Raw genomic sequence first — 15064 nt, 5'->3', positions numbered from 1 at the left:
TGGGAGGCTAAGATGGGTGGATCACTTGAGACCAGGAATTCGAGACCAGCCTGGCCAACATGATGAAACCCTGTCTCTACTTAAAATACAAAAATTAGCCAGGCATGGTGGCATGCACCTGTAATCCCAGCTAATCGGGAGGTTGAGGTGGGAGAATCGCTTGAACCCGAGAGGCGGAGGTTGCAGTCAGCTGAGATCATGCCACTAAACTCCAGCCTGGGCGACAGAGCGAGATCCTGTCTCAAAAAAAAAAAAAAAAAAAAAGTCAAAATCGAAAGTTTTTAGAGCTGGGTAAAAGCATTAAAACCAAAAGTGATCATCATATTGAAGAAAAGTCAAATAGACCCATATAGACATACTCTGGCAAAGATTGTTAATTACAAAAATAAAGAAAAATGACCTAAGTACCTAAACAGGTGAGCTATAAAGAAAACAAATTATGTTTGATTTTAATCTTTTTTGTAATACTAAATATAAGAAACCAAGGGAACAATAGATACAGAACTTTTAGGGAAAATTTATATGACTTAGCCATAAATCAGCAAAAGACATGTCCTAAAACAGATGTCGTCAAAGGGTAGTCCATGAACCCTTCAAGGTCTTTGAAAACTTTTCAGAGAGTCTGCAAGGTCAAAGTTATTTTTGTAATAATACTAAGATGTTATTGGCCTTTTTCACCGCGTAGATATTTGCACTGTTGATACAAAAACAATGCTGGATAAAACTGCAGTTTAGCACAAATCAATGCCATGGTGCCAACTGTACTAGCAATTATTATATTCTTCACCACCACACACTTGCAGGAAGAAAAAAGAGTGTCCTTGATAAAATAATAAGAAATTCTAATTTTTGTTGTCCTGAATCTTTTTTTTTTTTTTTTTTTTTGAGACAGAGTCTTGCTCTGTCGCCCAGGCTGGAGTGCAGTGGTGCAATCTCGGCTCACTGCAAGCTCCGCCTCCCGGGTTCACGCCATTCTCCTGCCTCAGCCTGCCAAGTAGCTGGGACTACAGGCACCCGCAACCACACCCGGCTAACGTTTTTGTGTTTTTAGTAGAGACGGGGTTTCACCTGTTAGCCAGGATGGTCTCAATCTCCTGACCTTGTGATCCGCCCGCCTCGGCCTCCCAAAGTGCTGGGATTACAGGCGTGAGCCACCACGCCCGGCCCTGTCCTGAATCTCAAGTACACATCTTTTTAATATTCTGTGTGACAAATAGGAAGTATACATAAAGCCCTTCTGGTACCTAGTGGAGCATGCAGATCGTCTCAAGGAAAAGCATATGTGCAATTGAGTTGCAAGCTGACCTAGCTGCTGTTTTCATGTATCATCATTTTTACTTGAAAATGAACAAAGTGAACCTGTTACTTCAAAGGAAACAATTGCTGGTGTTTGTTGCCAATGCAAAAATGTCAGATTTCAAGTGAAAATTAAAATATTGGGAAAGTCATATCTGCCATCTTTGAGCTCAGTTCTCTGTTGCTTAAAGACTTTTCTGATGAGATTAGTGGGAATGCAAATGAATGTGACTTTTTAAATATTGTTTAATGAAATGTGTTGACATTTGGAAGACATGTATAACTCAGTCAACTATTATTTTCCAAATAACCAAACGCATGATATTACAAAATTAGGGTAAAAGATCCATTCAATGTGAAAGATAGACTGATGGATTCTAACTGAACAGAATATGAAAGATTCACTGATACGGTTTTAGAGTCCACACTGCAACTAAACTTTAGGAGACTGCCACTTCCTGAATTTTGATATAGTATCAAAGGAGAATATCCAGAATTATCTGAAAAGAATATTAAAATATTTCTCCCTTTCCCAAGTATATATCCGTGTGAAGCCAGATTTTCTTCATATATTTCAACCAAGACAACATATTATAACAGATTGAATGCAGAAATATATGAGAATTCATCTGTCTTCTGTTAAGCCAGACATAAAATGGATTTACAAAAAAGTATTTTATATCTGACCAAACGAATATGCCTGGGTGAAGACAACAGAAAAGCATTCTCAGATATGCAAGAGCTCAGTAAATAGAATACCTACTGCCCTTTTAAAAGGAATTACTTGAAGACTTACTTCTGCCATTCAAGATATGGATTATATAGCCACACAATGAGAAGTTGGGTGATAAGGGGATTGTTTTGTGATTTATAAATTGTCTCCAAATTACTTGACTGTCATTGAAAAAAGAGAAGGGATGTGAAACAGACAAAATCTAGAAATATATCACCTTAAAATCAAAGTCCTCTGTCTAGAATGCCTATCTCCCTATGTGCTCACCTAAGTCCTATTTAGATTTCAAGACGCATCTCAGATCCCACATAAAATCATAGAATCTTGATACTGCAAAGGATCTGGAGAGAGGGAAATCACTTGTATTATTATGTACCTGGGTGTTTAAAATTCATCCACATTTAATCTGTACAGAAACCTAAATTGTCTTATTATCCCCATTTTCCAGATGAGGAAGTCCAAGTTCAGAGAGATAAAACCTCTTGCCCAATGTCATCCTTCCAGCTAGATGTGGAGTGGGGACAAAAACCCAGATCTTTTCTACTTAGAAGTCCAGGTTCTTTACATTTCACTCTATTACCTCAGAATTCATCTATCTAAATAAGCCCTACCCAATCTGTTGCTCAAGTCTTCATTAAGACAGCTCCACCCATCGTTATCAGTCCAGTCCCCTCCAGGGACAAGGAATTCAACATATTTTAATGCAGTCCATCATATCTATTGACTGCATTTAAAAGTTTCTCTCCATATTTAAGCCGACATATTCCTTCTCAAACCCTTACCTACAAATCCTAAGAATACCCTTTGGGGTTATGCGTAATGAGAAAGTGAAAGGGGCTAATAGCCACTTGTGTATCTGTTCTCTCTTTATGTGTCATTTTTACACAGCGCAAAGGCAGGTGTACCATGAAGCTAATGAAGCTTCAGAGCCTCCAATCACTGGAAGTTGCGGAGTGTTCTAGATGGAGGGGAACAGATTGTGTTTAGGAAGTGTGTCTGGTAAATTGGCTAAAGAGATCTCAGAAGAAAGGGACCTGAAACTTCAAATCTCCAGTAATTTGTTGTGATTTCTTTTCTCATCTTTAGCAAGTATTTACTTTTGTATCAATTTTGTACTGGAAACTTCATACTATTTTCCTTAAAGAGGGCTCCAAAAATTGTATTCAGCCCCAGAAAATCTGGATCCACTCCTGGTTTGACCCATAGCAGTCCTGTTAAATATATTTTCAGTATTGTATTTATGTCTAGGCATTTACATGAGAAAAATGAACCCCTGTCTTTTTTAACCTACTGTGGTTTTTATTTCGATTTGCTATGTTCGTTTTTTGTTTGTTTGTTTGAGATAGGGTCTCACTCTGTTGCCCAGGCTGGAGTGCAGTGGTGCAATCACGGTTCACTATAGTCTTGACCCTCCCAGCTCAAGTGATCCTCCTACCTCAGCCTCCAGAGTAGCTGGGACTACAGGCACATGCCACAATGCCCAGCTAAGTTTTTAATTTTTTGTAGAGACAGGGTCTTTCTATGTTTACACAGGCTGGTCTTGAACTCCTGGCCTCAAGTGATCCTCCCACCTCAGCCTCCCAAGTGCCGAGATTACAGGCATGAGCCACCGTGCCCAGCCAACCCATTGTTATTTTGGATCTCCATCACAGCAGCCAGGCCAATATCATGACACAGAATGCTTAATTTCTACTCTGCCGTGTGCAAACATGACCACCACTCTAATACCACCACCACAGGTAATTATTTCAAGGGGAGGCCTGACCCAGGCCAGGCCAATAATTCCTTGCCCACAATTTTCAAACTGGGACCGCGAAGAGAGTCAGCCTCTCTCTGATTACCTGCACAATCAGCCGGCAATTGTGTCTGTCTATAATTGTGTCTCCTTATTTCCATATGGAGGAAGCCAGGAAGCTTTAATGGTACATGAGGAAAAGAGAAGAAAAGACAAGGGCTATAGAAAGTCTGTCTTTCCAATTGTTCCTTGGGGCCAGCTGCATTTCTGCCCTTCCTATGATTTGGTTCATCAATTCTTCCTTGACCCAAGCTGGTTAAACAGTTTCTGTCTCTTGTAGCCAAGAGGTCTGCCCATTACAAAGAAAAATTTGCAGTGCACTGTCATACAGCATGTATGAACCGAGCCAGGGTAAGGCCCCAGGAAACTCCCACCCTATGCCCTTCCATGTTAACAATTTGCCTATGACTCTATATCTCCTGAGCTCCTAGATCCATATATCCAACTGCCTCACTGATAGGATATCTCAAAGGCACTTCAAAGTTAGTATCATCTTTCCTCAAATCCTCTGCCTCTAGGGCTCCCCATTGCAGTAAACCCAGTACTCACATCCAAGTGCCCAACTCATAAACTTGGATGAGGTCTATGACTTATAAAATCTAACATGAGGCCAGGTGTGGTGGCTCACACTTGTAATCCTAACACTTTGGGAGGCCGAGGTGAGAAGATCACTTGAGCCCAGGAGTTCGAGACTAACCTGGGTAAGATGCCAAGACTCCCTTTTTATAAAATATTTTTAAATGGCCGGGCGCGGTGACTCACGCCTATAAGCCCAGCAATTTGGGAGTCTGAGGCAGGTGGATTGCTTGAGGTCAGGAGTTTGAGACCAGCTTGGCCAACATGGTGAAGCCCCATTCCTACTAAAAATACAAAATATTAGCCTGGCATAGTGGCACACGCCTGTAGTCCTAGCTACTCAGGAGGCTGAAGCAGGAGAATCACTTGAACCCGGGAGGCAGAGGTTGCAGTGAGCCGAGATCACACCACTGCACTCCAGCCTGGGTGACAGAGCAAGACTCCGTCTCAAAAAATAAATAAATAAATTTAAAAATGATCCAGGGTGGTGATGCACACCTGTAGTCCTAGCTACTTGGGAGGCTGAAGTGGGAGGATTGCTTGAGCCCAGGAATTCCAGGTGACAGTGAGCTATGATAGCACCACCGCCCTCCAGCCTGGGCAGCAAAGCAAGACCCTGTCTCTAAAACAAATTAAAAAACCCTAACATGTTCTGTCCCCTGTCTATCCCTCTTGTTTAACCATACTCTTACCTCAATTCTGTATCCTCCAATCACATTGGTTTATTTAAAATTAATAAAGTAACATCTCCCTTTTCCCCAGTGTTCTCCCACTATACCATTTGACGTAGAACTTTCCTATGTGAAACTGTAAATTCTATGCAAAATACTTAAAAGGGAGAGCTACGGAAGCCCCTTGCACCCATGGGCTTCCTCTAACTGACCTAGGTCTTCTAGACACCGCTCTCAGAAATAAGGTCTATCAGACCTTTTACCAGACACAGCTTTCAGAAATAAGGTCATTCCAACCCTCACACATCTCCGAGTTTGAAATAAGTGGGGTAGAAGTAGAAGAAACTATAGAGATCCTAGTTTTGTAGTGATGTGTGTCAAGGGCCATGCTGACTGAATTTTATGTGGGATGGCTTCAACAGGGTCCAATCTGCTTAACAAATAAATGATTGGACCTCTGCTGCCATCCTGGTAAGAAACATTGATCCAGCTTCCTCATCCTGCTCTCTTCCTAATCAAAATCTCACGGGAAGCATCTGATTGGTGAGCTTGCTTTCATGCACGTGCCATAGCTATGCATGAGAGTCTGTCTCAACACAGACTGAGACAGTGAACATCTGGCTTCTGCTGTGGGCAGAAAACAACCTCAAACGGAAAGGTAATAAAAAAAAATGTTTGGCCGCCTTAAAGTATAATTATCCCTTCCCCATGGCTTAACGCAGTCAGCAGGTGACATTCCTCTAACCATGGACATTGCTTCACTATGGTCATCTGACCCAATTCACACCAGTGAGATGTTAGGGAGGCTAGGGTTGTTGTAAAATATTCTTTCTTTCTCTCTTTCTCTCACTTTCTTTCTTTCTCTCTCTTCCTTCCTTCCTTTCTTCCTTTCTTTTTCTTTTCTTTCTTTCTTCTTTCTCTCTCTTCCTTCCTTTCTTCCTTTCCTTTCTTTTTTCTCTCCCTTCCTTCACTTCTTCCTTTTTCTCTCTCTTCCTTCCTTCCTTTCCTTTTTCTTTCCTTCTCTTTCTTTCTTTCTCTTTCTTTCTTCCTTTTTCTTTCTTTCTTTCCTCTCTCTTTTTCTCTTTCTTTCCTTTTCTTTCTCTCTCTCTCTCCTTCCTTCCTTCCCTCCTTCCCTCCCTCCCTCCTTCCTTCCTTCCTCCCCCTCCCCTCCCCTCCCCTTCCCTTCCTTTTTTCTTGAGACGGGGTCTCACTCTGTTGTCCAGGTTGGAGTGCAGTGGCATGGTCTTGGCTCACCACAGCCTCAACCTCTGGGGGCTGAAGCAATCCTCCCACCTCAGTCTCTTGAGTAGCTGGGACTACAGGTTCACGCCACCATGCCCAGCTAATTTTGGGGTATTTTTTGTAAAGACAGGGTTTTGCCATGTAACCCAGGCTGGTTTTTGAACTCCTGAGCTTAAGCAATTTGCCCATCTTGGCTTCCCAAAATGCTGGGATTACAGGCATGAGCCATTGTACACGTCCTCTCATTCTTTTTTTTTTTTTTTTTTTTTTTTTGAGACAGAGTCTGGCTCTGTCATCCAGGCTGGAGTGCAGTGGTGCCATCTTGGTTCACTGCAACCTCCACCTCCTGGCTTCAAGCAATTCTCATGTCTCAGCCTCCTGAGTAGCTGGGATTACAGGTGTGCACCCCCATGCCTGGCTAATTTTTGTATTTTTAGTAGAGATGGGGTTTCACCATGTTGGCCAAGGTGGTCTCGAACTTCCAACCTGAGGTGATCCGCCCACCTCAGCCTTCCAAAGTGCTGGAATTACAGGCGTGAGACATCTTGCCCAGCGGCCCTCTCATTCTTAAGCTCTATTGATTGCCAGCTATCTCTCTTTCTGGACAAAGTGGTTTAGGGATGTGAGGCCAGCAATTTTTTCACCATGGGAAAAGCTGTCCCCCACATAAAGCTCGGACAGCAGATGCAGAGTAAAGATATGGAAAAACAGTAAAAAACAACTCTGGCCGGGCACGGTGGCTCACGCCTGCAATCCCAGCACTTTGGGAGGCTGAGGCAGGCGGATCATGAGGTCAGGAGATCAAGACCATCGTGGCTAACATGGTGAAACCCTGTCTTTACTAAAAATACAAAAGATTAGCTGGGCGTGATGGCACACACCTGTAGTCCCAGCTATTCAGGAGGCTGAGGCAGGAGAATTACTTGAATCCAGGAGGCATAGGTTGCAGTGGGCCGAGATCGTGCCACTGCACTCCAACATGGGTGACAGAGTGAGACCCCGTCTCAAAAAAAAGAAAAACTGAACTACACCAATCTCGGAGTCTGCCCAGGTCTCACTATAATGTAAGCCAGTAAATTTTTATCATTTAAGCCAGGTTGAGGTTTTTGTTTAATCTAAAAAAACCCACATATCTGACAAAGAAGTTGTATCCCAAATATATAAACAACTCTCAAAACTCAATAATAAAATAACACCAACCCAATCAAGAAAATGGGCAAAAAACTTAAAGAGACATTTCACCAGAAAAGATAAACAGACAGCAAGTAAGCACAAGAGAAGATGATTGGCTTCATTAGTCATTAGGAGCAACATGGCGAAACCCCATCTCTACAAAAAAAGAAAAAACTGATATATAAATAACAAGGTAAGGTTAGTGGACGAAGACTTCCTGGAAAGGATAAGCAGAGGTTATAAGGATAAAATCTTGCAAGAATATGAAAGCATTTTGGAAAGTATAACTTAGAAAAGTACAGGTTTCATAATTTGTTTGTATCACCCGTAAGTTCTAGCATAATATTGCAATATGTTGCTGGTATTTGGTAAATGTTTCTTATTCGTTCTTATTATAGGGTTCATAAATAAACTGTTCAATGAGTGGAAAAGCATTCAAGTCAAAGGGGAGTGTCCAGAAAAGATTCCTACAGCCCCAGACCTGAGTCAGGTCCCAAGGACTTTTCCCCTTGTTATGGACAGACTTTAGGGTTGGCCACCTGTTATTTTCTTGATCCAGGATAATTGAGGTCACACTTTTAGCTATGGCATGGTTTGCAGTTTGAGTAGCTGGTATCAATCTTGTGCTTCCTGTTCTACAGAAAGATGTAGGTTCTGATGGGTATGGGGACACAAGATGCCACTTGCCCAGGTGGGCATATTTCCTGCAGCAGCCCCCTCTGCATGACTTCCCCTCCTGCCTGACTGCCAGGCTCAGTGTTCTGCAGAAACCAGCATTGATGACATCTCATTTCTCAGATCTGCAAGGGCCCCCTCAGCTGCAGATTGGTAATGTGACAATTAAACTTCAAGTGCGCAAAGTCTCAGGTATGAGGCACACAGCAGCAATCACCTCCGGTAGTCAGCATCTTGCTAGCTAGCCCACCTGCACCCCAAACATCTGGTGATGCTATGATTTGCAGAAGTGAAAGAAAACTGTTTAATTAACCATCTTCTCTCACCTCTCTGGGGCCATAAAAGCTCTTGACTTTCCCCCATCAAAAGGATCTCTTCCCTTCCCAACAAGCTATACAATAGAATGTAAAGAATTAATTTTATTCTAATAGATCCTATAATACTCTTTCCTTTAGGAAACCTCCTAGCTGAACACTTCACCTGGACAATGAAATTCAACTTTTTTTCCCCAAGTTTTCCTTCATTCTGAACTCTAAAATGTACTTATGTTTTTCAATGAAAACACCCTACTCCTACTTCACCTATTGTTGTTTTGGTTTTCTGTCATTGCAGATTGGGTCTTCATAAGTACACCTATCTTAAATTTTAATATCATAGAAGACAGGCACTGGCTCTGAGCTTATATCGTAGAACCTAGCAATACATAATTTTTACGATAATAAACACATTACATAGCTGAGAAAACAAAGGTGTAGTTAAAAAATATTCACAGCTTTCCAGCTCCCTCCCCCTCTAGAAATTCCCTTCCTGTATCTAAGGAAAAGAAAGGGGATTCCATGAGTCACCAAGAAGTTTGGAAACTGAAAGCCACCCATTCCCTGCCAAAATGTTTTTTGGGGATATATTTTTAAAATGCAATAAGGCAGCCAGACACAGTGGCTCATGGCTGTAATCCCAGCATTCTAGGAGGTCAGGGCCAGAGGATCTCTTTGAGGCCAGGAGTTCAAGACCAGCTTAGGCAACGTAGCAAGACCACATCTCTACTTGAGGGGAAAAAAAATCCAATAAGGTAAAAGATCTACTTTTTATCTCTTTTCCCCTTTTCATATGCTCAGAACTACAGTCCCAAACAAAGGATTCATAAATTAGAAGTCATTTCACATATATTTATATTTATTATTATTTCTTAGTTTAAAAATGTTTTTTACATTCAATGCCAAAACATAGATACTGCATTCTGTAACCCCACCCACTACCCTCACATACCCATAACACTTCCCTCCTCTCCTGGTTTCCTCAGGGCGAACAGGCAATGCCCAAGTCCTCCTGCTTACCTACCATGAACTCTTACTTTGCTCCAGTTCTCCCACTAGGGCTCAGATGCCCTGTTAGTTTCATCCTTCTAGTTGCGGCCAAACCTGGGAGATTCTTTTCCAGAGGCAGGAAGTACTATGAAAGCCTGGGGAAATTTCCCAACCCCACCCACAGAAGCTAAGTCAGGAAAAGCCTGTAGAGGTGATTCATGGGCTTTAAGTTCATGCATCCTAAACAAAGGTGGCCACCCAGAGCTGTCTTCTAGTCAACTCGACCACAAACCATGGAATGGCTCCTATGCCAGGAGAGACCAAGGCTGGTGGCAAGGGGAAATTTTCTAACCAATCAGCTTTCCCCCTAGGCTGTGAAGAAAAGTCCCTGAGGGGGAGGCTGTGGGACCAAGTAGGGGAAAATGAAAAGCAACACCTGGGTTAGCCAGGTGTAGAAAGAACAAGCATCCCTGGGCTGACCCGGGAGGCTCTCTCTTCAACAATGGGTGCATAAATTAGAACCTGAACTTCGGTGGCAATCAATTTACACCAGTGTAACAAATCCAGAGCTCAGATGATGTTTAAAGTGACGGGGATGGCCAGGCTTGCTGGTTCACACCTGTAATCCCAGCACTTTGGGAGGACGAGGCAGGTGGATCACGAGGTCAGGGGATCGAGACCATCCTGGCCAACATGGTAAAACCCCATCTCTACAAAATACATAAATAAATAAATAAATACACACACACACACACACACACACACACAAATATTAGCTGGGCGTGGTGGCATATGCCTGTAATCTCAGCTACTCGGGAGGGTGAGGCAGGAGAATTGCTTGAACCTGGGAGTCAGAGGCTGCAGTGAGCCAAGATCATGCCACTGCACTCTAGCCTGGTGACAGAGCAAGACTCCGTCTCGAAAGAAAGAAGAAAGAAAGAAAGAAAGAGAGAGGGAGGGAGGGAGGGAAGGAAGGAAGGGATGGGGACTGAAAAGGCTGCCAGCTTGGTTCTATCATTAAGGCTGTTAGCATTCTTTTTTCTTGTTGTTGCTCAATATAATCCATAGCCTCACAAGTTATAACATTCTTGACGCAAGGAACAATGAATCTCTGGCCTCCATATATTCTGTGACAGCAGAAATTTCCCAGGCAGTACAGATGTAGGACCCAAATAGGTTTCAAATCCATTTTTTTTTTTTTTTTTTTGAGACAGGGTCTTACTCTGTCACCCAGGCTGGAATGTAGTGGCGTGATCTCAGCTCACTGCAGCCTTCACCTCCCAGGCTCAAGCAATCCTCCCACCCCAGCCTCCTAAAGTAGCTGGGACTACGGTGCTCGCCACCGCGCCTGGCTAATTTTTCAATTTTTTGTAGAGATGGGGTTTCATCATGTTGCCCAAGTTGGTCTCAAACTCCTGGGTTCAAGTGATTCTCCCACCTTGGCCTCCCAAAGTGCTGGGATTACAGGCATGAGCCACTGCACTCAGCCCCAAAAAACTTTGTCAACCACTGCTCAGTAATGCCTGACTTTGGTACAGCCCTTTGATTTCAAGTACATTTGGTTCCTCCAGCAATCATCAAAGGTTGTTAGCCTCGCTTCCTCTGCAATGATTAGGAAGGATAAGTAGTACAGAGATAGGGCCCTGGGTGCCTTGAAAGCAAGCCTCCCTTTTATAAGAATCCCAGCCTAGCAGGGCTGTGGTAAGAGAAGTGGGCAAAGCAAAAGGAAGTTTTTTACTGATACTCAGTGCTATTGAGTGATAATGCAACCGTTCATCTTCCTGTTGAAGAGTTCGACATGCTTTCACAGTTATGAATGAAACTCTCTCAGATTGTTTTTTAAAAATTCCTTCAAGATCTCTAGCTCTTAAAAGAGTAGCAGTAACTTCCTCCATCTGCAGTCTAACACAATTCCATGGTGACTGCTCTAACATAGTGTGGTGCATATTCCTCGCTTCTGTGGCTGCCCTTCATCTGAACCCACTCCTTAAATTTGGAGAATCCCCTATCATTTGAGCTTTCGTAAAAATCAGGGGCAATGTCCCACTATAGAAGTAGAAGGATCTGATACTTACTGCCCCAGCACCTCTTGCAGCAAGGGAGAAGGCATGTGACCTTGGCTTGGTCAAGTGGACATGTCCACCCAAGGTGTTGACTGAGGAAATAGTAATGCAAAGAAAGAAGCCAGGAAACACTTTATTCCAACAACAGTAACATCCAGTTTTCATGCCAGGGGTGGCATCCGGTGTCTGGTGCCTGCAGCAAGAAAGGCTTTGTCAGACTGGTTCTATGGTGTGACCTTGGCAGTGGCTGTGTCTCACTCTTTCCCTCCCCTTTATGTCCATTTGTGGAGCTTGAGTCTCCAGGTAATCCTGCGAACTATCCAACTCCTTTTGATTGCTTCAGGCACAAACTTGGGAGACATCTTTGAGTTTCCTCTGTAACCTTATATCTAATCCAATAGGAAATTCCGGAAGTGGCCCATTTCCTCTGCTAGTACTCCCTGGCCTAAACCACCATTATCTCTCACCTGAATTACTGAAATAGACTCCTTTAAAAAAAATTAGATCAAACATTTTTTATTGCCAAAAATTTTATGTATTTATTACGTACAACATAATGTTTTGAAATATGTGTACACTGTGGAATGGCTAAATCAAGCTAAATATCATATGCTTAACCTCACGTTTCTTTTTTTATAGTGAGAAGGCTTAAAATCTACTGTTTTTGTGATTTTGAAGAATACAACAGATTGTTTTTGTGTGTGTGAATGTGTTTTTTGAGATGGAGTTTCACTCTTGTTGTCCCAGGCTTGAGTGCAATGGCGCAATCTTGGCTCACTGCAACCTCTGCATACTGGGTTCAAGTGATTCTCCTGCCTCAGCCTCCTGAGTAGCTGGGATTACAGGCACCCGCCACCATGCCCAGCTAATTTTTGTATTTTTAGCAGAGACAGGGTTTCACCACATTGGCCAGGCTGGTCTTGAACTCCTGACCTCGGGTGATCCATCCGCGTCAGCCACCCAAGTGCTGGGATTACAGGCGTGAGCCACCGCGCGTTGCCCAACACATTGTTATTAATTCTAGTCACCATGTTTTACAACAAATCTCTTGAACATATTCCTTCTAACTGAAAATTTGTATCCTGTGACCAATATCTCCACCGCCAACACCCAGACTCTGGTAATCACCATACTACTTTCTGCTTCTATGAGTTCACTTTTTTAGATTCCACATATAAGTGAGATCATACACAATTTTTTTTTTTTTTTGAGATGGAGTCTTGCTCTGTCACCCATGCTACAGTGCAATGGCGCGATCTCGGCTCACTGCAACCTCTGCCTCCCGGGTTCAAGCGGTTCTCCTGCCTCAGCCTCCTGAGTAGCTGGGATTACAGGCTTGCACAACCATGCCCGGCTAACTTTTGTATTTTCAGTAGAGACAGGGTTTCACCATGTTGGTCAGGCTGGTCTTGAACTCTTGACCTCAAGCAATTCGCCTGCCTCGACCTCCCAAAGTGCTGGGTTACAGGAGTGAGCCACTGCTCCTGGCCACTATTTGTCTTTTTGTGTGTAGCTTATTTCACTTAACATAATGTCCTCCAGCCCTTTGATTTCAAGTACATTTGATTCCTTCAGCAATCAAAGCAAATAATGGATGTTTTCCAGGTTCATCCATGTTGTTGCAAATGACAGAATTTCCTTCTTTTTAAAGGCTGAATAGTATTCCATTGTGTATACGCACCATATTTTATTTATTCATCCATTAATGGACATTCAGGTTGATTCCATATCTTTGCTATTGTGAGTAATGATGCAATGAACATGGAGCGCAGATATCTCTTCAACACACTAATGTTATTTTCTTTGGATATATGCCCAGTAGTGAGATTGCTGGATCATATGGTAATTCTAGCTTTAATTTTTTTGAGGAACCTCCACACTGTTTTCCACAATGGCTATACTAATTTACATACTCCCCAAGATTGTGCAATGGTTTCCTTTTCTTCACATCCTACTAACACTTATCATTTCGCTTTTTGATTAACAGCCATTCTAAGAGGTGTGAGGTGATAGCTGCTTGTGGTTTTAATTTGCTTTTCTCTGATGATTAGTGACATTACGTTTTCATATACCCCTTGGCCATCATACACCTGTTGGCCATTTGCATGTCTTTGTTTGAGAAATGGCTATGTGGGTCCCTTGCCCATTTTTTAATTGGGTTATTTTCTTGCTATTGGATTGTTTGGATTCCTTATGTGTTTCGGATACTAACCCCTTATTAGATGTATGGTTTGCAAATATTTTCTCCCATTCCACAAGTTGTCTCTTCACTCTGTTGATTGTTTCCTTGGCTGTGCAGGAGCTTTCCAGTTTGTTACAATCCCATTTGTCTGTTTTCACTTTTGTTGCCCGTGCAACAGCCTCAACTGGTTTCTCTGCTTTCACTTTGTTCCCATACAGACCTGTCTCCACACCGTAGTCTGTTATCTTTTACAATCATAACTGAGATCATGTCACTCCTCTGCTCAAAGTCACCCCACAGCTTCTCATTACTCAAAATAAAATGCAAAATGCTTGTCAAGATCTATGTGATTGGTCTCTTGCTTGCTACCTTTCTAATCTCATCTCCTCTCACTCCCTTACTTGCTCACTCCTCCCAGCTGCACCAGTCTCTCTTCAATTCCTCAAAATGCCAAGCACACTCCTGATGCTGGACTCTTGGTCTTGCTATTCCCTCTGCCTAGAATGCTCTTCTCCAAGATACCTATATGACTTGCTTCCTCACTTCAGTCAGGTCTCTACTTAAATGCTACTTTACCAGATAGGCTTCCTTGACCACCCTATCTAAAATTGCACCCCTGGCCGGGCACGGTGGCTCACACCTGTAATCCCAGCACTTTGGGAGGCCGAGGCAGGTGGATCACGAGGTCAGGAGATCGAGACCAGCCTGGCTAACATGGTGAAATCCCATCTCTACTAAAAATACAAAAATTAGCGAGGCGTGGTGGCGGGCACCTGTAATCCCAGCTACTCGGGAGGCTGAGGCAGGAGAATCACTTGAACCCAGGAGGCAGAGGTTGCAGTGAGCTGAGATGGTGCCATTGCACTCCAGCCTGAGTAAATAAATAAATAAAAATAAAATAAATAAATAAAATAAAATTGCACTCCTCTCTCCTGCCAGTTCACCTCTATTTTTCTTTGCTAACATCTGAACCATTCCTCCTTATTTTTTTTCTTCAACTGCATATGTGTATGCATTTGTTTGTCTGTCTCCACCACTAGGATGTAAGCTCCCTGAGAGTAGGGACTTTGTCCATTTGCTTTCTGCCATATCCCCAGTGCCTAAAAGAGTACATAGTACCTAGTGAGCACTCTGTAAATATACATTAGGTAGATGTATTCACCAAATAAATTTCATTTCTGTTTAAATCTGCCATAGTTGATTTCTGTTTCTTGCAACTTAACATGCTAAGAACCTTATCTGAGAGACATGTAAGACACTGGGAATCAAATTTTTCTCTCATTTAGTGACTTTGGGCAAAGTCACTTAGCACTCTGGGTCTCAGTTTCTTTATATATTGCCCCTCTTTGCTATA

The 15064-nt window shown here is 42.7% G+C and overlaps 2 annotated features.

The window, feature by feature from the left end:
- Positions 5555-6054: an enhancer, noted in NCBI's record as "H3K27ac hESC enhancer chr1:203906961-203907460 (GRCh37/hg19 assembly coordinates)". NCBI's record gives its function as "activates a minimal SCP1, AML or CMV promoter by ChIP-STARR-seq in naive H9 embryonic stem cells {active_cell/tissue: H9 hESC(naive)}" and the evidence as "EXISTENCE:reporter gene assay evidence [ECO:0000049][PMID:30033119]".
- Positions 6055-6556: an enhancer, noted in NCBI's record as "H3K27ac hESC enhancer chr1:203906459-203906960 (GRCh37/hg19 assembly coordinates)". NCBI's record gives its function as "activates a minimal SCP1, AML or CMV promoter by ChIP-STARR-seq in naive and primed H9 embryonic stem cells {active_cell/tissue: H9 hESC(naive and primed)}" and the evidence as "EXISTENCE:reporter gene assay evidence [ECO:0000049][PMID:30033119]".

The sequence above is a fragment of the Homo sapiens genome, chromosome 1 (assembly GCF_000001405.40).
Source record: "Homo sapiens chromosome 1, GRCh38.p14 Primary Assembly".
Lineage (NCBI taxonomy): Eukaryota > Metazoa > Chordata > Mammalia > Primates > Hominidae > Homo > Homo sapiens.
This window is presented reverse-complemented; position numbering and strand designations above follow the sequence as displayed.